Source organism: Homo sapiens, chromosome 4, assembly GCF_000001405.40.
Source record: "Homo sapiens chromosome 4, GRCh38.p14 Primary Assembly".
Taxonomy (NCBI): domain Eukaryota; kingdom Metazoa; phylum Chordata; class Mammalia; order Primates; family Hominidae; genus Homo; species Homo sapiens.
In genome coordinates, this window is record NC_000004.12 from 90945112 (window position 1) to 90967814 (window position 22703).

General features: G+C 33.4%; 1 protein-coding gene across 19 annotated transcripts in view; it reads left to right on the top strand.

Moving 5' to 3' along the window:
* CCSER1 (coiled-coil serine rich protein 1) overlaps positions 1–22703 on the top strand; it is a 1477902-nt gene that overhangs the window by 817718 nt on the left and 637481 nt on the right. For 3 of the 19 annotated variants that reach the window (XR_001741218.2, XM_011531951.2, XM_011531950.3), the window contains one exon: positions 6003–6049. The exons of 13 other annotated variants lie outside the window; for them this stretch is intronic. Coding sequence is in view for 4 of the 6 variants with exons in the window: in XM_011531951.2 (XP_011530253.1) it covers positions 6003–6011 (9 nt within the window). In the remaining 2 variants the exon portion in view is untranslated. Of the gene's footprint in view, positions 1–6002; positions 6202–22703 lie in introns of those variants that run through there. 3 more of the 19 variants (XM_011531946.3, XM_011531949.3, XM_017008199.2) reach the window with 1 other exon arrangement.

The window sequence follows — 22703 nt, forward strand, 5'->3', positions numbered from 1 at the left end:
TCACTTTCAGCAAACTCAGAAATTTTGAAGGACAAAGAATTTAGTGATTTAACTAGGAAAAAAACTAATATTCAGTTTTTTTTCTGGATGTGTGTCATAATATACTACAAAAAGAGAAGAGCCAATAATTTAAATTTATATATCATATTTTAAATTAGAGGTATTTTTTAAAATTATTTTTTCATTTGCTATTTATGCAGAATTAGCCCTGATAGAATAATAACACATTCAGCTAAATGGAATGGATCATGTTCCTTCTTTATTATGTCTTTCTTTCAGTTATACTATAGACTTCATTACATATTTTATTGAATATAATTGCCTTTCTCAAAATACTTCAGATGTTGTTTTATTTAATGAGTTATAAAATCTGTGTTGTTTTATAGTCCATTTTCTTTTACTTGGTGTGTATCAGAAATACATGACAATTCCCATAAGAGAAAACACATAAGAAAACCCGAATACAATATTTGCAGCCTGATTTCTCTGTTCTCCTGCTTTTCCACAAACAGACTGTGTTATTTCTACCCTCAAGTCTCAGCACCTTTAGTGCCCGAACCGCTAATGCTATTTCTTCTCGCTTAGCTTGTTTGTATGAAAAGAAAACCAAGTTCCATATGCTTCTCCCTACCCCAATATATTTCATAACTTCTCCAGGCATCATTGAACTCTATCTTCTCTAAATCACTCTACAGTTCAATAATGGCTAACATTTTTTTTTAATCTATGTCAGGGGTTGTTCTAAAAGTTTTACATATTTTAAATATTTTGATCCTCACGAAAGCTATAAAGTAATTACTCTATATGATTTCCTTTTACAAGAAAGAAAACTGAAATATAGAGGAGTTAAGTAACTTGCTCACAATTACATGACTAGTATTATTAGCAATCAAGTATTCTGCTCAATAGGGAAATATCACATATACATCACATTGGTATGCCACTTTTCAAAAAATAAACTAAAATTTTAATAAGATAACTTTTTGCCTTTGATTTTTATAATTACAATTAAGAGTGACACTAATAATTATAATGATTGATATAATGCTAATTTTATAAGCATGAGCAAATACAAGATACTTTAATTTTAAGTCCTCGAAGAGAATAATGACTAATATTTATTAGGTGCTGCTGTGACAATGTTCTAAGTGCTTTATTATGTATATTGACTTATGTAATCTTAAAAACAACAGCAAACTCAAGAAAGATTGTAATATTATTCTCAATTTATGGAGGAGGCTGGGTGCGGTGGCCCATGCCTGTAATCCCAACACTTTGGGAGGCTGAGGTGGGTGTATCACTCGAGATTAGGAGTTCGAGACCGGCCTGGCCAACGTGGTGAAAACTTGTCTCTACTAAAAATACGAAAATTAGCCAGGCGTGGTTCCAGGCGCCTCTAATCCCAACTATTCTGGAGGCGGAGGTAGGAGACTCTGTTGAACCTGGGAGACTGAGGTTACAGTGAGCCTAGATCATGCCACTGCACTCCAGCCTGGAGGCAAGACTGCACCTCAAAAAAAAAAAAAAAAGAGATTATAGAGGAGTAAATTATGACCTAGAAAGGTAACATGAAATTCTTAAGGCTGTTCATGTCAAACAAATGGTGACATAACTAGAATGTAAATATAAGCAGTCTTGATTTCAGATTTTAACACCCTTTACCACTATACTGTATCCAAACCTCACCCATAGCACAGAATAAACTATATCCATTATCAGTCAGAGTAAGCTAGATGGCACTGGAGAAACAACAATTCCCAAATATTAGAAGTGACTCATAACATCAAATATTGATTTCTTGCTTGTGCTATGTATCTATTGCTGTTCAGCAAGCAACGCTTCTCCAGGCTCCCTCACTCTAAGACTCAGACTGGTGGAACAATCCTCCTCTGTTATGTTGCAGTCTCAGCGGGAAAGAGAAGAATGTCTTAGATTGTACAACAGATCTTAAATTTCCACCCAGAAGTGACATATAATACTTCTACTCATATTTCATTGATCAAAACATAGCAAGTCACATGATCACAGGTAACTCACTCCAGGGAGCAAGGAGGAGCAAATCAACATATGCCTACAAGTGGGGAAATGAAGTTTAACCAGCAAACAGCACTAATGCCTACTATTTTATCTGTTTTTCCATGGATTAATCTGGTCTTAATGAAAATATGGAAAGTATCATTTGGTAAATATGCTATGTTACTGACACGAAATATCTTGGATTCCATCATGTTTTTCAGAAAAATGTAATTAAATTTTTTAACCTGTAATTGAATATTTCTCCTTAATATATCACATGTACATAAAGCTATCTCAATTTTTAACATATGACATAAACATTATTTACACCATATTCTCCAGCTATGTTTCAGCAGCTCAACTAGATTTTTCAAATATTTCAACATTTTAAAAAATATTTCTACTTGCAATCAATGCATTATCTACTGAATTGCCTGGAACTTGTTGATATTACCACAGTCCTATTCCAGCTTATTTTAACTATTAAAACAGTCATACTTGCTGATATATAATCTAAGCATTATTATACTTGTCAGAATTAATTCACAATGACAGTGTTATTTCAACAACACTTTTTAGTCATTTATCTCCTTACAACCTATCATGAAGCACATTTTTTCCTTTGCAAGTATCTCTAGAGACTGTAAGTGACAAGTATAATATCTTAAATGTGTGAACAAAAATGACTTTCCTGTTCCCAAACAATATGCTTTGCTTGATCCAGAAATAGATAATTTGCATCAACTGAAAAAATAGGTATCATGTAATTTTTTCTCTGTGCTAACTTAATGGTAAACCTTCCCATAGCATCTCCTAAATCATGTGTTGTATTTTCAACCTTTAAGATATAAAAATATGACCACCTTTAATTCCCACATTACCCAATTTACATTTGTACTTAATTAGAAAATTGTCTACTGTAATTTTAGTTCATAAACAAAGTAAACTGCATCTTTCTGCCCTTTTTTCAGTGTTGAGTGTAAAGTGAAATCCTTGGTACTATTTTTTTTTCCAGTCTGTAATTAATTTGCGAATTCCTACTATAGTAATTGATTCAAATGGTTTTCATTGTACAACAATAGTTAGGTAAACATTCATTATATCAAGATGGTGGTTAGCATTACCCAAAATCTGTTGTTTTACTTTAACTATAATCCAAATATAAATGTAAATATAAATAAATATATATATGAAATTAGTGTCTTCACTTTTCAGGCAATCTTTTCCAATTCATTTTCAGGATTTAAAAAATAATTATTGAAGCTGGAAGAGAACATTAATCAGAGTTTTAGAGATACATATTTTCTTGTTCTCAATTTTTTTCGTTTATTCTTTTTCTATATTTACAACACATAGGATGAAAACAAAGATTTATAAATACGAGAAGTATTATGAGGCCATGTTTTATTGTCACAATTTAAAATCTTGTCAATAGAATTTTTAAATTAATACACAGATTATGAGAATATATCAATTCTCACTGTTTGGCAATAATTTTCTAAGTTTTGTAGATTCTGAAATTTTAAGCATTTATATGCATCATAAAATTGCATATTTACATGCATTCTTATGCTTTGTAAAAAATAGAATTAGGTAAAATATCAGACTATTAAGTTCAGCATAATTTTATTTCTCAGTCAGACTTCTCTAGGAATTCATGATTCACATGAATTCACATGATTTTTTGTTTAATTATTTATTCAAGAAATGTTTACTAAAAACTTACAGTGTGTTGGGTCCTTAGGCTATGAACCATATAATACCACGTACTGACCAACCACAGATGAATAGAGTCTAGCAGGATATGTAGGCATAATCACAATACTTTTTAATGTTATTATAATTAGCGTAACAAGAATATGTCTGACGTGGAATGTGATAATTTTATGAGCATAATGTATTTTACCACAATTAGAGATCACCTTTCAACTTATTAAATTTTAGGATTATCTTATAAATTTGTATAGAGAAAGAGATGCTAACATATTTAGTACCTCATGAGTATCAGACACAGACCTACTTGGTGCTTTTTGATATGTTCTGTTTACTCTTCTGCTTCCTTTTATTAATTTTTGTATGAAAAAGACACATTTGATGTCTGTTTATGTGAGCAATCTGCTGCATAGCAACCCAATTTAATCTTTTCGGTTCCATCAAATATTTAAGAATTTCTTTACCCTTAAGAAGAATAAAACCATAATAGAGTAGATGATATAAAAACACATAACAAAATAAATACCTAACTTGCAAGAATATTATAATATCAGACTGGTAAAACATATTAAACTGCTAAAAAAAATCAGAACATAATACGGTAAATAGGAGTGTGTAGGGTGTGTCACAATGATTTTGTTGTCACTACAGTGAGTCAGGGGGCAACACCATCTAAGAATTCATTTGTTAACTAAATTCCCAACTGGAGTTATAGGTTTTGTTTTCATGTGATATATGAGGAAAACGAATCATTACAATGCAAGTAAAATAAGTGCCATGTCCTTCATGCATTCATTCATTTGACAAACTATGTACTGAGCAACTGTTTTGTGCCAGGTATTTCTGTTGTTGTTGGGCATACACAGTAGGCAAAATAACTATTATTCCTAACCTATGGCATTTACATCTCATTTAATAGCCATAATGATTCTAAGTAGCAGACTCTAGAATTATCCCTACTGTACTGATGAACATATAGAGCATTTATATCTCATTTAATACCCATGATGACTCTAAGTAGCAGACTCTAGAATTATCCCTACTGTACGGATGAACATATAGAGGCCTAAAAAGGATAAAAAACTTGCCTGCTGTCACAATAAGTGCTATGTGTCCCTTACGTTAGTCTGACAATAAAGACTAAGCCCTCTGCTATCATACCACACCCCTCCACCAGGTATGGTGATAGGAGTGATTATCTGTATCTGAAAAGTGCAAAAAGGGAGGAATGCTTTTGTTACATTGCCAGGCAAATGAGGATGGAGATGTGCAAGAAGAACCACAGTTAGCTAACCTGGACTACCTGCTAAATCCCAATTAAAACAACATGTTAATAAAAAGAGAAAGTAAAATTAAAAAGTCAATAGACATCCTTGGTAACATTTTCATGGCTATATGTTATAGATATCTGTAAAAAAATTAATGAGTTTGATTTTTATTTGATCATATAGCTTCTACATTTCTGAGCCATTACACTGAGGTCTTTTAATTTTTTTTCCCTGAGACTAAATAAACGTGATGGAAACTGAGATATATTTTTATTACTGAGTACGTCTGCTGTTGAAGACCTGAATAAACAAAGAACAAAACTGAATTATGGTGCTGCAGCCTAATATCATCACCTACTAATCAAATATAGAAACTCTTAAAACAAAACATACACATACACACACACGTGCACGCGTGCACACACACACATACACACACGTTGAATTCCCACAGCTCTAGCTGTCTGATTCAGAAAGAGAGAAAGGAAGTCATCTCTGTTTTTGGTACAGGCTTTTGTGTAACTATAGAGCCAAGAGGCATACAGTGATAACCTTTTTAACAAGCATATATGGCCATTAAAAACAGCAGGGTTTCAGCCTGGTTATCTTGGGTATAGAGATAACCACTTTTGCTGACTCCAGGGTATTCTTGAAAACAATACGATTGTACTGTGGAGTCTGTATTTGTTTATCCTACATGTAATTGGAGCAGAGCTAACATGCTATTCCCGTGCTCTCTTTTGTCCCATACTTTTAGAGACCTATATGTTACATTTCTAAGTTTCATAAATATCTTTAGCATAGCTAATCACAAACTAGTGTGATATCTTTTATCATTGATTTTCACTGAAAAATTGTTTATTGGGCACTAGGTGCCTGGTATATGCACTTTTATAAGCAAAGTTAAAGGGAGTATTAGCCTAGAAATTTTACTTAGCATTGGTAGAGATTAGGAGAATAAATAAAATTTATCTCACTAACAAATACCTCTGTATGATTTCTCAGGAGCGTTAACGTCATGAATCCTGTGGCTCACCACTTCATGTCTGAAGGTTAGTGAGCCAATGACTCATCCCTCAAGGCTCTGGATTTGTTTACTTATTTAGCAAGGTATAGCAGAAAATGACAGCATGCCCTTAACACAAAGCTTTTCCTCTAGTACTCTTGTCCAGGAAGAGGTAATAAAATTTACTTTAAAAAACTACTCAGTAACTGAATAGTTTATCAAGGCATTCCATTGAGAAGAGAAATCTTTGGGGTATAAAAAGGAAGGAAAATGTTGTGAAGGGCATCACTCCCTTTTTCAATAGAGAATGTGTGAAAAAGTAAGGAAACTTTTTTCGGTTACTTTTCTTCCTTTCATAAATGTCTCATGAGGCGGAAAGAATACTGCAAGGGGAGATATTCTTCTTTATACATTTCCATAAATTCTACTATTTGCAGTATATTCTGTAGAAGGTTCACAAGGTTTTGTCAGAAGTCCAACATGATAAAAAATGTACGAAGTACATTTGTAAATATTAATGAAGAGATGTTATCAAAAACTACATTTTGTTAATGCTTTGCATATACTGCAAAGAGAAATAGAATTTGATGTCCAGCTTCCTAAAGACACATTTTAAAGACTTTCAGTGAGCATAGGTAATTGTGATTTATTCTGAATGCTTCTAAATTCTTTAAGTCTGGCTTTCATAATTGCAAGTAGAAAGTTGTATTTTCTAAGGAGAGGATACTGAGGTGATTAGGTAATTGTCACACATGAACACTCATATTTTAGGTTAACAGATATAGTAGGCTAATTCTCTAGGGATTTTCTGAATGTTAATTTTACACGCACACACATACAGACACACCTTGCTTTTCTCCCTTTTACTATCATGAATAGGGATAAAACACTAACTGTCAATTTGGGGTGGAATATTAAGAAAAACTAAAACTTAAATCACATTATGAGAAAAATTCACCAGTAAAGTCACCTTTAATGGAGGCATACATGCATACATCAACAGAGACAATTAAATACTTTTTCTGTTGATATATTAGGAAAATATTTATTAGAAGGGAGCAAAGCAAATATATAAAAAGAAAATATCAAGTCAAACTATATGAGAGGAAAGGTAAAAAAATAATATTTGGGTAACACATGTTAATTCTTTTTGTTACCATCTTTAGAGCAGCAATACTCAATCAGAGGCATTTTTGCCCCCCAGTGAACACTGAGCAATACCTAGAGATAGTTTTGGATGCTACACTTCAGAGATGCCACTAAAAAGTAATGGGAAGAGGCCAGGTATGCTACTTAATATCCCACAGTGCACAAGGCAGCTCACCTCAGCCAAGAATTATCCTGCCCACCAGGTTAATATTGCCAAGGAGAAACCCTGCTCTAGGTGGTCATTGTTAACAATGTTGAAATCTTGATTGATAACATAAAAATATTTTGTAGCACTTTTCAGGTAAATAAAAATGGGACTTGTTTACTATCTCATAGAATTCCTTTTTTGCCTGAGGAAGCATCATAATGTCATAGTCCTAGACACTTGATTTCCTACAACTGGCCTGGGACTGAGTCTCTATTATTCAAGGTGATAGCCTATCATATTTGCCGAGGTTAGCTCTGTATAGTTCTGTTTTCAGTCCCTCACTTTCCTGTGACAAGTTTTGACCAAGATATCTAGGAAAATAAATTTAAATCATAGACTGTTTTTCCAGGTGCTTCTGCCCACTCCCACTAGGCTCCAGAAGATTCTATTTCCTGTATTCTAGAAACACCCTTGAGACTCACACAGAAATCTAATAATGATCCTGTGTTATAAATTTTTCCAAGTTCTAAATTTAAAGACCATAGAAAAATTATCTAAATAGTTTCTGCTTTAATATTGTCCGTCTTTACCTTTAATATTTTGCTTTAATATTGTCCTTATCTTTACCTTTAGTATTTTGGGGCATATTTATATTATTTTCTGTATAAAGGATTTTCAGATGCAACTTCAGTGAAATATGAGTTTTGACATCCATGTGTTATGTTCATATGCAATTTTGTCATCTAGTTAACTTTTATTGTTATAGTTACTAAACAAAACAAAAAGTGATTGGCATATTAGTGGCAAAGTTCTGATATAAATTAGAAAATTATAACAGAACTGAAGGTGATCATCTTAGAACATCAAGGAAAAAATTTTTTCAACTTTAATTTTAGGAAAGCAATTCTCATTTAAAGTAGTATTTCATTGATTTTTTTTTATTTTAACAAACATAAATTTAGCAAAATAAAAATGTTCTATTTTACAATGAAACTTTTCTTACTAGCAATGTTAATTCAGTAAATATTTATTGAACATTTACTATTGTCAAGGCAATTAGATAAATTATTTATCCTAGAAATATTTTAGATATACAATTATTTTTAAATAATTGAAAGCTAAATAAATATGAAGAGGATCAAACTTTATTTCACCTGCATTCATTACAATATATAAATACACCTATACATTCCTATATCTATGTATGTTAATATAGTTAAATATAAATATTCTTTACTTATTTATCCTTTGGATATATGTGTATATTTACATCCATGTGTATATACTTTTTACAAGTAAATGTGCAGATGTGTATAGAGAATTTTGTATTGACTCACATTTTTTGATAATTGACTGAATAATTTCATCCATAGTATAGGTTTTGGTGAGTGATTTGTATCTGTAAACACTCAAATAACAAGCAACAAACTATTTTTTAAAATCCCTTATCATATTATAAATCCACATAGCTTTTCCAATAGTCTTTTTAGCAATAAGAGAAAAATTACAAAGCTCAATAGAGTTGTCATAACAAAAGAGGTTCATAAATTTTTCTTTAATTACACTCCGTGTTGCCTCTCATAAAAGTAGCATACAGCTTCTACTATCGGATTGAATGCTTACCAATTTGGAAAATGTTTGTTGATTTTTACATAAATACTTTCATTTAAGAAACTAATGATTTTTATAACATTTCTCTTTAAAGAAATAATTTATAGGCTGCATTGGAAAGCAAATACATTCTACAGTATTTTATTTGTTATCAGTTCCTTCATATGTGACTACATGAAACAAAATTTGTATGCTATATTTGCAGAATAAAGTAGAAAATACATTTTGCATACCTCAAAGTAAAAAGATTCTGTAATACAATTTCTATATGTATTCCTTCTCTCCAAAACATATTTTATTATAACATGAACATTTTAGTAGTTAACATTTTTATTTGTATTGAATTTTGCCAATTAGTTAGCCAATTTTATAATTCATTTCAGTTTTTGTTTATATTTAAATTACAGTTTACTTAATATTTCACTAGGTATTTGTTTCATAAAAGATGATTATATTAGTGAATCACAAGGATCTGAAGGAATTCTTAACATAGTTCTCATCCCAAGTAGCTGATAAAATAGATGAATTTCGTTTAATATTATTCCATGGTAGTTCACACATGAACTAACACATTAAATAGTGCTTTCAGCTTCCACTTAGTGTAGGATTGAATAAAACATGTGCTGAATGAAAACAAATGATGCATAGGAAGTATCAATCTCTGTGAATATTTCTCTATAAATTCTATTGAAGTAAGTTTCAACTAGGGAAACTATGATGGCTTTGAAATTCGTTTTTATGTGTTGAGGGTATGCAGTACATTTACTAAAAAAAAATGATTATCAAGTGATAAAATGGTTGATTTTGGTTAAAACAACTTCTCTAACTTCTCTCTTCATACATACCCACTTAGCTATTGCCACACTAGCTTTGATTCTTCTATATACATGTATGCCCTAGCTTTAGGGCTCTGATCTTTCTGCCTGGAACTATCTTCCACCAGATACTTTTATGCTTAGTGTTTCACCTCCTCAAGTCTTTCATGGCCAAAATAAGATTGTAAATATTTATCTACATTATCTATTTCCCTTCCTTGGTTAATATTTCTCATTAGCACTTGTTACCATCGAACGTGTTCGTGTTCTATGTATTTATTCTGTTTCCCCATTTGAATATAAACTCAAGGAAGGCAGATTTTATCCTATGTTTTTCATTGCTATACCCCTGCACTTGGAAGACCCAGCTGGTCCCAAAAAGACACTCAGTAAACACCCTATGAATGAAGGATATCAGATGCTTGTAATGCACAAGGCCCATGTCACTTTTCGGGAGTGCTACACTTGTGTTGGTTTTAATCCTTCTGTAAGAGCTGGAAAACTAGTCCTAAGAGGCTGCAGCAGGCAAGCATTAGCTCACAAAAATAAGGCAAATCAACTGAAGGAAATTGGACCAATGAGTATAAATATCCTACAACTTCAAGTCACATTAAATCAAACTCCCAATAGTAAACACTCCCTCACACTGCTTCCCAGCCTTTTCATGTTGTGCTACAGATAGATAATGATAATATTTAAGTAGTATATTGGGGTAAACTGACAAAGCTGTGGCCAGAGGATTCTGCCTCAGGACATTCCATTCCAAGCATTTAATCACACTTAAAATCTAAAACCCTTACTCTGATTTACTATTTATATTATCTGACTCCTGATTGCCTTTCCAGCTTCAAAAGATGGTCTTATTCTTCTTGCCCTCCTGCACATGCCTCATTTCTATTACTGAAACAAATTAAGTCCTGTCTTGGGGTATTTGTACTAGCTGTTTCCTCCCTCTGAAAGGCTTCTCCGTCTTACCACCATTCTACTTATTCGTAATTCAGATCATAACTTAAATATGTCCTGCTTCGAAAGACTATTCCTTACCATTCAATCTAAAGAAGCCAATCTAAAATAGATACTCTCTCCCACATCACACAGATGTAATGTTCTGCACAAGATTTACTAACATCTAATGTTTTTCTTGTGTATTATATATATATATCAATGCATTTGTTTATTCTGTGTCTCTCTGGGCCAAGAATCTCTCACTTCCTCACTGCAAGATGGGTGTAGGACCGAGAACAGTGCTGGACACATCATAAGTGTTTAGTAAATATTTAAAGTGGGTAAAATTAATTTCCATAAATAAAAACGTGTATTGATATTGCCAAGTGCCTTAGAACTTTGTCAAAAGATAAAAATGATTTTTATATAATTTCAATAAAATAAAAACCTACAGAAGCATTATTATACAGTGGTTTCAGGTCAGATTTTGGCTTAAGAAAGACCTACTAACTATTTTCTGGGACAACTTACTTAACTTGCAAATCCTTCATTTCTTCGTATAGAAAAAATAGGGCAGGATAGCTAAGGCATAGGATTTTCCTAAGAATAAAATTAAATACTATATATGAAATACTATGTGGGTGGCATAGGTAGGTAAGAAAATCTCTTGAACATGTCCCTAGTGATGGAGGGACACTATTCAGACAGGCATCTAAAATGATTCCTTTTTAAATTAATTTACCTATCCATTAATCCATTTAATAAAAGTTGAGAAACTTCTGTTTCCTGGAAAGATGCTGTATATGAGACATAGAGAAAAGAATTTGTATTAATTTTCAAAATTAGGTTTCTTATGGAGAGAAATATGTAAATAAGCAATTAACAGACACTTTAAGAAGTGCTATGTTACTGGTTTATACAAGGATTTCCCAGGAAGTATGAAGGCAGAACTCCATCTGATATTCTTTTCTTTTCTTCCTCTTCTTTTTTTTTTTTTTTTCTTTAAAAGACAGTATTTTAACTCTGTCACCCAGGCTGGAGTGCAGTGGCCTGATCACAGTTCACTGAAGCTTTGAACTCCTGAGCTCAAGCATTCCTCCTGCATCAGCCCCCTGAGTAGCTGTGTAGCTGGGACTACAGGTGTGTGCCACCACAACCAGCCTTTTTTTTTTTTTTTGTAGAGACAGGATCTCACTATGTTGCCCAGGCTGGTCTTGAATTCCTGACCTCAGCAATCTTCCTTCCTTGGCCTACCAAAGTGCTAGGATTACAGGCATGAATCAGCAGCAGATCCAGCCTGATATTTCTTTCTTTCCTTTTTTTTTTTTTTTTTTTTTTGAGACAGAGTCTCGCTCTGTCACCCAGGCTGGAGTGCAGTGGCGCGATCTCGGCTCACTGCAACCTCTGCCTCCCGGGTTCAAGCAATTCTCTGCCTCAGCCTCCCGACTACCTGGGATTACAGGCCCCCCCCACCACGTCCAGCTAATTTTTTTGTTTTTAATAGAGATGGGGTTTCACCATCTTGGCCAGGCTGGTCTTCAACTCTTGACCTTGTGATCTGCCTGCCTTGGCCTCCCAAAATGCTGGGATTACAGGCGTGAGCCACCGTGCCTAGCCCCAGCCTGATATTTCTAATTGAGGTGACTCTAAAAACGAACAGCAATTTCATGGTATATAAATAATATATACATAATTTATATTATAATATTATTATATAATATTATATAATATAACATAATATCATATATTATATATATTATATAATTATATTATATATATTATATAATTATATTATATAATATATTATTATTTATATTATATATAATATATATTATATTGTATATATTCTATATAATATATAATATATAATTATATATATAACTATATAATTTCATGGTATATGTATAATTTCATGGTGTATATATATATATATATACCCACACATACACACACAGCTAACAAAAGGTAAGATTTGGATTTTTAAACTGAAATTTCCCCTGATGGAGAACGCTTGTTTATGTCTTGTTAAATATTTAGGCAATACTCAGCCTAACAGATTATCACATATTGACATAAAATGATGAAAGGACTAGGGACTCTGTCTTGGCTCTTAAAAATAACATCCTAATTCAAACTTACACCTGCAGCAAGCTTGAAAAGGCATATTTAATAAATTGAAAAAAATAGTGAATAATGTGTTACAGTTTGAAGGAGTTACTTGAGAGAGCTTCTAGGTTAGCTGGGGGATCTTCCAAACTCCAGCACATAATTAAGAGCATTCTATTAGATGTGTGTGGAATCCTCTTGGAGATATTTTGAAAATTTATTTATGGGATGCATCAAGTTTTATTTAATGTTTAAGACCTCTGAATTTTCTCTGAATTAGAAATAATCCTTCTTTTTTTCAGAAAACTATGATCTTATACAATCCAAATGGTCAAGGGCAATGTAACTAGGTCGTGAAACAACTGAGTTTCTACTATACCAACTGTGATAAAGTTTATAATAAGTAACTAGTTGTCTGCTGGTTTTCCTGTCTTCTTTTTAAATTATGCAAGAGGCTAATAAAACAGTAAAGTAATAGCTCTCAGGTTTCAAACTGTTGTAGTTATTGGCTATATCCCTTGTGGTCTCCCTGCATACCTCTTGGGTAAGGTTTCCTCTCTAGGGCTGTCAGCCAACATGCCTTTGCTTGAGTTTATGGTAAAACATTTTTTTTTTTTCTGCACTGACATTCTGGAGCAGGCTGTGTGTTTTGGGTCGAGAAGGCTGCATGCAGTCCAGTGTGATGGCTGCAGCCCACTTGCTAACCTTAGAGACAGGTCTTGTAGTCTCGTGTCCCTCCCTTGGGAGATAATTAGGATCAGATAAGCTCATGAGGGTGGAATTCTCGTGAACAGGATTCATGTCCTTATAAGGGTCCAGAGTGACTGCCACATGAGAACCCAGTGAAAAGACAGCCATTTATGAAGCAAATCCTCAGCAGACACTGATCTTGGACTTCCCACCCTCCAGAATTGTCAGAAATAAATACTTGTTGTTTAAGCCACCCAGACTATGGTATTTTGCTCTAGTAGCCTGAGCAGATTAAGACAGATACCATCCTTCTTCTGTCTCTACTTGTGTTTAGATTATTAGAGTATAATTTTCAAAAAGTTAAAAACAGGAGTCTCATGCAAATTTAAAATGAATCTTGGTCAAAGATTTTATATAACAAAGTAATTAGGTTACCAGTAACACGTTAAAATCATTTCAAATTGCATTTGAGGAATTAGATATTTATAAGGAACAGAGAATGTTAGAATAAGATTACAGGAGTTATCTGTTGAACAGATGTAAATAATTTGCATCTCTGCTGTAAATTTTCTATAAGGGAACATCTGCTCTTACAGAATTATAAAACAGCCTCATTAAAAGGAAGTCAGTGCATCCTGCTGTAGCACAGTGCTCCACTGGAAGAACATGCAGTATTCTTTGCCTATTTCCAATATCTATATTATATTTCTATAATACGTGTCAATAATACGGGTTAATCATTGTGATTATTCTATTTCTTGGCCACCTACTCTATGCCAGGCACTTGGTCAGATGTTGGAATCCATTTCATCTAATGCCAAAAATAGCTGCCCAGTAAATTCTTATATAAACAAACTGAGACTCAGGGAAGATACATTTTCCAAAGTCCAAACCATTAGTAAGTGGCACACCTGAGTTTTCTTTGTTCTTTTATTTAAAACTTACTATATATGCTATGCACTACTTTAAGGGATTTATAAGTCTTATACCATTTAATCCTAAAAATAACTTAAAGTGCCCTCACTTTATTTATGAGAAAACTAGGCATCATAGAATTGAATAATGTGCCAAAGATAAATTTGACACCATTACCTGGGACTTCCTAATATATGATCAGATAAAGAGACTTCTGCATCCTGTGGAAGTTCTGCCTCGGGTTTTCTTTTTTTTTTTTTCGTTTGTTTTCTCTGATAGCAATTTGCCTTCTTTGCCTATCTCAGTCAACCTTGACCTTTAATCCAGCACCTCTCTTCTTGCCTGTGACCTCTGAACTCTTGACTCTGAGTCTGTCATTTAATACACATGCTTTGTATTCTGGAGCTTCTTTCCACGTTACTGCGTCTGCTTCAATCTAATACCCAAATCCAGAATTTTAATTATGCCTTTTGCTTTGACATTAGATTTGTCTATGTCTGTCTCTTAATTGTGCTCCAGCAAGACAGTTCGGCAAGAATCGCTTAAATTCCATTTTTCAAAGATAAGGAAATAGCTTTCCTTTGTAATAATTGGACATTTAATGCCATGAGTTAGAATGGAAAGATACCTGAAATCGTCTTTCACAGAGATAGCCTGTTCACATTGTTTTCATTAATCATTCATTTTTTTTAAAAAAAGGATTTTACGTAATGCTTTTATATGCAAAACATCATGAAGCATAGTTCAAGAATACAGAGATTAAAAATTAGACATTATTCTGAAATGGATTCAGCCATTAAGAACATTATACTCACTAGAAAAACTACACAGAAACATGAAATGCCTTGTTTCTAACCTTTGCACCACTCCTTTCCCCACAGTAGAAATATTTGACTCCTCACCTATGTTCTGGTATCTTGTCAGTCTTTACTCATTGCTCCTATTTATTCTACCCAGTCTACATCATTAGGTTCAGGCTTCTTACCTGAAACCTCAACTGCACCTCAATTCCTAAGCCAAGTTAGACAGAAGTGAGAAGCAGATTTATCTGATCTCCACCACTCTCAGCCTATCCCCAGCTCAGACAGATTTAGTTGTATCTTCTTCCAGTGTCACTTCTCTGTGAACTAAATGCCTCACTGCTGACCAATGGGCTTTCATTTTCGGTATGAAAGCTACACTTGCCTTCACCTCAGAGCTCTTATTCTGTTTATGGAACCGCTGTACCTGGAATCCTGATTCTCGACTCCTTGCTGCATTAGCTGGAATTATGTTCTTATTCTTAGCTACAAGACTAGATTGGGTCTAGAAGTTTCTATGAAGTTGTGAAATACTTATTTAGCACCTTAATATATGTTAAGACACTGCTACAAGTGTTTCACAAATACTATAAGGAAGGTACTATTTTTATCCCCATTTAATATGTGAGGTAAATAAAGGATAGAAAAGTGAAGTAACACAGGCAGTTTGGCTCAGAGTTCATGCTCATAATGACTATGCAACCTGTCTCCCTAATTATATCTTGCATTTACAGCTGTGCTTTCATTCCCAGCCACTAGAGCACCAGAATTGCCCTAATGTTGACAAACTCTTAGATTCCCCATTAGCACCTGCTCTAAAGATGCTACTTTATCCTGTTCTTTGTGTTATATTCCCAGACCTCCCAGGTTAAAATTGCTTACCTGTCATCATGCGTTCCTTATTTAGAGTTCACTTTCCCAATAGTTACACCCAGATCCCCTTCTTTTCCCTATCCAGCATTCATCAAATGTTTCTTCCCAGTTCCAGTATAGACCTTCTAGCTTGCCTCTTTCTCCTATTCATAGGTAAAATCCTTAAATATATATGAGATAGTAACTGTAGCTCAATTCAAGGACCAAAAATGGTCAACCATTAGATCACCTGATCCATCTTTTAGCCTTTAACCTTATGAATCTGATCTTGTAGGTACATGTCTATACCTATATTAAATGTATGAATAACATATATACATGAAACTTAGACAAAATAGAATAATATGTTGAAAGCAAAAGAAAATGTTTCATATGAATATTTGAATGTTAATATAAAGTTTCATTCATAAAGTACTGACACCTTAAGAATGGATTAGAGATCAGTGATAGATTTTACAAATTTGGCTTACAAATATAATGTTTATAATGATATTATTTTAATTTTAAGTAAGTACATTTATATTCATAAATATAAAAATCAAACATATACACTTTTAATTACTATTCAGCATGGTAGAAAAATATTGCAATTACTAAAGACTAGAATATAATATTCTTAATAGGCTTCAATGTCAATATAATATAGAATTGTTTTAAACAGTTCCTTTTTCTGATCTGAAAGTTGACAATAGATTCTTGAAATTAATTAATTTGGATTGACCTTTTTCTCATTTAGCCTGATGGCACCAACAGAAAATGAGAAAAGATTGAATACTCAGAATGCTTAGATAATCACATTTCAGGAAAACAAAAACAAAAACAAAAAACATTGTTTAAAGTCCCCCATTGAGCACTTTTTCTATGTTAATGAGAATTCCCATTTAATTCTCATAACACTTTGAGAAAATATTTATCCCCATTTGAGAAGAACTGAGATTTAGAAGTTCAGTAACTTGTCTATGATAATACATGTTAATAGTGGATCCAAGAATAAGACTCAGATCTTGCCAACTCACAGAACATTCTGTACCATTCACATCTCCTCAAACATTATGATGCCAATGTAAAAAAAAATCTCTTAGTAAAGATAAGCATACTAAGATGTAAATGGGTATGAGAAATGGAAAATGGCAAGATTGTTGATTTCTTCATTATAAAATAGGAATGATGGCTTTTTGCAATATCACAGTCAAAACCATAAAAAATATTTTATACTTCTGTATTTAATATACTATTTAAACATAGCAATGAAAGAATATTATTTTGACTACATTAGCTTAATTTTAAAAAAGGAATATTTTAATCTAAATTCAATTTGACAGTAAAATAAAAGAGTATTTGAAATTCTGAATACTTATATGCCCTGTAAACTTGCTTCTCAGAATGTGCTTCAGTGGCCCACATAGGTAATATTTTTAACTGAATATAACCATATTACATGTGGAAAAGTTTAGAGCTTGGTAAAAAATCATTTGAAATGTGTAATGTTCAAGCAAGAAATATTTAGTAGGGTACTGTACATTAGAGATGACAGAATATTTACTAATGGCAAAAGACAAGCCATGTCTTGGGTTCTTACCTTTCACCTTCTAGCTAGTATCACAGGCACAACAGGATTGTTTTTTTCTACACTGTAGCCAGAGTGTGCATGTTTTTCATACAGGGCTATTTTAATATTCATTTATTCACTTTTGGATAATGAAAAATTCTACTAGTCACTCTAGGCAATTTATCAGCATTAATGATAATGCAGCCAGAGTAGCATGAAAGGAACAAATTAGAACATGGATTTAGGTAATTATATATTGTTCTAGTTTAGCAAAAAAAAAATCATGTTTTAAATCCGAATACCATTATTCTTTAGTAAAATAAATCATATTGGATTTCAATACATTGCTAATTGTTCAGGTTTCTTTTTAAGGTAGAATAGTATTTTAACAAAATTTGTTATTGGATATTTATAGTTGTACTGAACAGCTCTTATTATATAGTTCCCTAGATTAGTCTATTTAAAGGCGTTTGAGGAAACTAAGCTTTCATTTAAAAATTCTGAAGCAAATTTGATCAGTACATCTATTGAATAGCATCTTGAATCTCCGAGGATGTGATCTAACAGAATCCCAAAACTAGGTTCCTTAACAGCAGAGTCTATGAATTATGAAAATTGATGACAGATAGATCTATAGATGATAGAGATGCAAATATGGAGATATATATAAACATATATTATGAAATACATATATACATTTTTTTTGTTATGGACTGATTTGTGTCCCCAAAATTCATATTTGAAGTCATAACCCACAGTAGCTTAGAATGTGAATACTTAGAGATAGGGCCTTAGGGAAGTATTTAACATTAAATTAAGTCATTTAAATGAAAGTACACCCTAATCCAACATGACTGGTGTCCTTGTAAGAAGACGGAAAACATGCACCGAGAAAAGGCCATTTGAGGGCACAGTGAGAAGGCAGCCATCTGCATCCATTGGAGAGGACAGAGGCCTCAAGTGAAACCAGACCTGCTGACACCTTGATTTTAGAATCCCAGCCTCCATAATTGTGTGAAAATAAATTTCTCAGTTTCTCACATGGCATTTAAGCCACCCAGTCTGTGGTATTTTGTTGTGGCTGCCTTTAGCAAACTAACGTATTGCCTTATGATCTATTGAAAGGTTCAAGTAAAAAAAAATAAAGAAAATTTAATAGGGCTTCAAGAAGTTAGGAGTTGTCAAATATTCTTTTTATTTTCTTCTTCTCTTGCTTTTGTTAATAAAGAATTTCTGGGGTAGAAAAACAACATTTTTTCTCACTAATTTGTGTGATTTCCAGCAGTTCATTATTAGAAACCAATTATTTTAATGCAAGAAGAACTCTTTTTTACACTATTTGTGGAGAGCAAATTATATAAAATTGACATACCTCCCTAAAAGTGGCCTTAAAAATGTTCATGTATTTTTACTGAATTCTTCTTTTAGAAATTATTTTAAGTAAACAATGCAGTTGCTTAAAGTTTTCTGTAAATAGGTGCTGATCACAACATAGTTCATAGAAGTGAACAACTAAAAATAACATTGTTTCCAAATTGAAGTATTCCCATAAATTGTGATTTTTTTTGTATCTATAAATATAATAACAGATATGTATTTTTAACATGGAACTGCCTGGTAATAGAGAAAATAAAAATTCTTTAAGAGACATGTAATAAAAAGCAGCAGTTCTAGAATAACACAGTAAAGGCATCTGAAAATCTGCTATTCCATAAAAGCAACAAGGATAGGCCAGGCGTGGTGGCTCACACTTGTAATCCCACACTTTGGGAGGCCAAGGCGGGCAGATCACGAGGTCAGGAGATCGGGACCATCCTGACTAACATGGTGGAACCCGTCTCTACTAAAAATACAAAAAACTTAGCTGGGTGTGGTGGCAGGCGCCTGTTGTCTCAGCTACTCGGGAGGCTGATCCAGGAGAATGGCATGAACCCGGGAGGCAGAGCTTGCAGTGATCCGAGATTGTGCCACTGCATTCCAGCCTGGGCGACAGAGCCAGAGCAAGACTCTGTCTCCAAAAAAAAAAAAAAAAAAAAAGCAACAAGAATATGGGCAAAAATTGTCCAAATCAACTTTTTAAATTCTGGAAATCCACCAAAGGCTTTCGATACCACGGAGTGTTTATTAGGGGTAAATGGTTGAATCTCAGTTCTAACAGCAAACATTGTGTTATTTTAACTTGCCCACTTTCTCTACCTCATGTGCAGTTGCCTTGCTATCCGGTGACCTTGCAACAAAGACATCTGTGTAAAAGATCACCTTTGTAGCCACTAAGGGGGCCTTATCTATGTGGAGCTACCCCCAAAAGCCTCATTCCCAGAGTTTTATCAATATTTGAATTGTCTACCAGCTCCCTAGAACAGGGCCATTTACAAGACTTGTTTTTATTTGAACTCAGGGCTTACTCATTGCAAAAAGCCCTATCCTATCCACAGGACATTTGACAGAAACAATCAATTGTTTAATATTTCAGTTGCTTGAGGCAGTGATACAAGTTGGGGAAAATGAGTCTGACCAAAATCTTAAATGGAAAATCTGGGAGATGATATGTCTACAGAGGCCTTTAAAAAGGCTTCTTATAAATTCTCTGGAACCTAGAAAGCCACAACAAGTGCAGGGGTGTGCCCATATTCAAGGCTGTGTGTATGCCCAAGAAAGACCTGACAAGGCCCTGTTTTCTCACCTCTGGGTGACCTTGAGTTTCTGCATAGGTAGGAAGGAAAAGCTAAGGCTGACTGCAAACCATCAGATCGTTGAAGACATGCCCCCAATACATACACAAAACCAATTGGCAAAAGCCGGGAGACTTATTGGCCAATACATTCAAGATAATCTTTGTTTAATTGTAAGTTGATCACTATTGTAATCCACCAGGGACTTCAGTGAACTACAGATGACAAGAATAAAGACTTTTCAGAATATTTCATTAAAAAAAGATGACACCAAAATCAATGAACTGCAACAACAAGCCATGTGAAAGAGAAGAATCTGATTTTTAGAGTTTCTACATTATATGAAAATGTCCAATTGCCAAAAAATGTAAAAGACGTGAGAAGACACAAGAAAGTGTGACTCATAAGAGAGGGAAAAAATAGTCAAAAGAACCTATTTTATGTATTTAAGAAGTGATGGAAGCCATGTCTAAAGAACTAAACGAAAGTGCTTTTTTTCCTGAATAAAGAAATCAGCAAAGAGATAGGAAATATTTTTAAGTACCAAATAGAAATTCTGGAGTTGAAAAGTATAGTAACTGAAATGAAAGTACCTTCATGGACTCAACAGTATATTTGAGCAGGCAAATAAATAATCAGTTAAATTTAAGATAGATTCATAGAGATTATCCAATCTGATAAAGAGAAAAATAAAAGAATGAATAAAAATGAACAGAGACTCAGAAACCTGTAAAAACGCTGTGAAGTGTATCAACATACACATGAGATTTAAGAAGGAGTGAAGAGAAAGTGGCAGAAAGACTATTTGAAGATATGATGGCCAGAATTTTCTTAAATGTTATGAAAAACATTGATCTGCCTAAGAAACTTGAAGTCCATGTGGTATAATTTAAAGAGATGCATATTTCAACACATAGTAGTTGAACTGTTGAAAGACAAAGAAAAAAAAATGTGAAGACAGCAAGAGAAGAGCCACTCATCACACAAAAGTCTCCTCAAAAAGATGGCTGACTTCTTATCAAAAGCAGGGAGGCCAGAAGAAAGTGGGATGATATATTCAGTACTGAAACAAAGGATAAAAGCTGCCAATATTTCTTATCCAACCAAACTGTCTTTCAAAAATGAAAGAGAAATTGAGATGTTCCCAGATAAACAAAAACTGCGCGAATTCATTGCTAGGAAACCTGCCTTATAAGAAATTTTAAAGAAAGTCCTTCAGACTGAAAGAGAAGGACAATAAATCGCCAATTGAATCCGTGGAAGGGATAAAGAGCAACTGTATAACTACACAGGAAAATATGAAAACTTATACATTTATTTTTATTTATTACTCTTATCTGATATCAAATACAATTGCAGAAAGCAATAGTTGTAAAACTATATTGATGTATGTTCATGGGTCAATAGGCTTAATATTGTTAAGATGATAATATAATCCAGATTGACCTACAGATTCATCACAATTCCTATCAAAATCCCAGCTAGCTTCTCTGAAGAAATTGACAAGTTGATCCTAAATTTCACATGGAAATACAAAGTACATAAAATATCCAAAACAATCTTGAAAATGAAAAACAAAATTGGATAACCTACACTTTTCAATTTCAAAATTTATTATGAAGCTAAAATAATCAAGGGAGTGTGGTACTGGCATAAGGTCAGAGAGATTGATAAATTAAATAGAATTGAGAATCCAAAACTAAACCCTAATATTTATGACCAATTGATTTTCAACAAGTGTGCCAATACATCTCAATGGTAAAAGGAAAGTCATTTTGGGCTGGGTGTGGTGGCTCATGCTTGTAATCACAGCCCTTTGGGAGGCCGAGGTGGGAAGATCAGCTGAGGTGAGGAATTCGAGACCAGCCTGGCCAAAATGATGAAACCCTATCTCCATTAAAAATACAAAAAATTAGCTGGGCGTGGTGGAGTGCACCTATGGTCCCAGCTACCCGGGAGGCTGAGGCAGGAGAATCGCTTGAACCCAAGAGGTGCAGGTTGCAGTGAGCTGAGATCACAGCAATTCACTCCAGCCTGGGCGACAGAGCAAGACTTTGTCTCAAAGAAAAAAAAAAGTATTTTCAACCCATGGTGCTGGGACAACAATATATCCACAAGCAAAAGAAAGAAGTTGGACACCTACCTCACAACATATACAAAAATAACTTAAACTGGATTATAGACCTAAATGTAATAGCTAATACTACAAAATTTTTATAAAAAAATAAATGAGTAAATCCAATAATGGTTAGTGATGGTTTCTTAGATACAACACCTAAAGCACAATAAACAACTATAACAATATAAATTGGATTTCAACAAAATTAAGAATTTGTTCTTCGAGTTGATGCCAGCAAGATGATAAAATAGAAGTTTTCAGCCCTTATTCCACCCTAAGAAACATATTTTTTCACAATCTCCCATGGA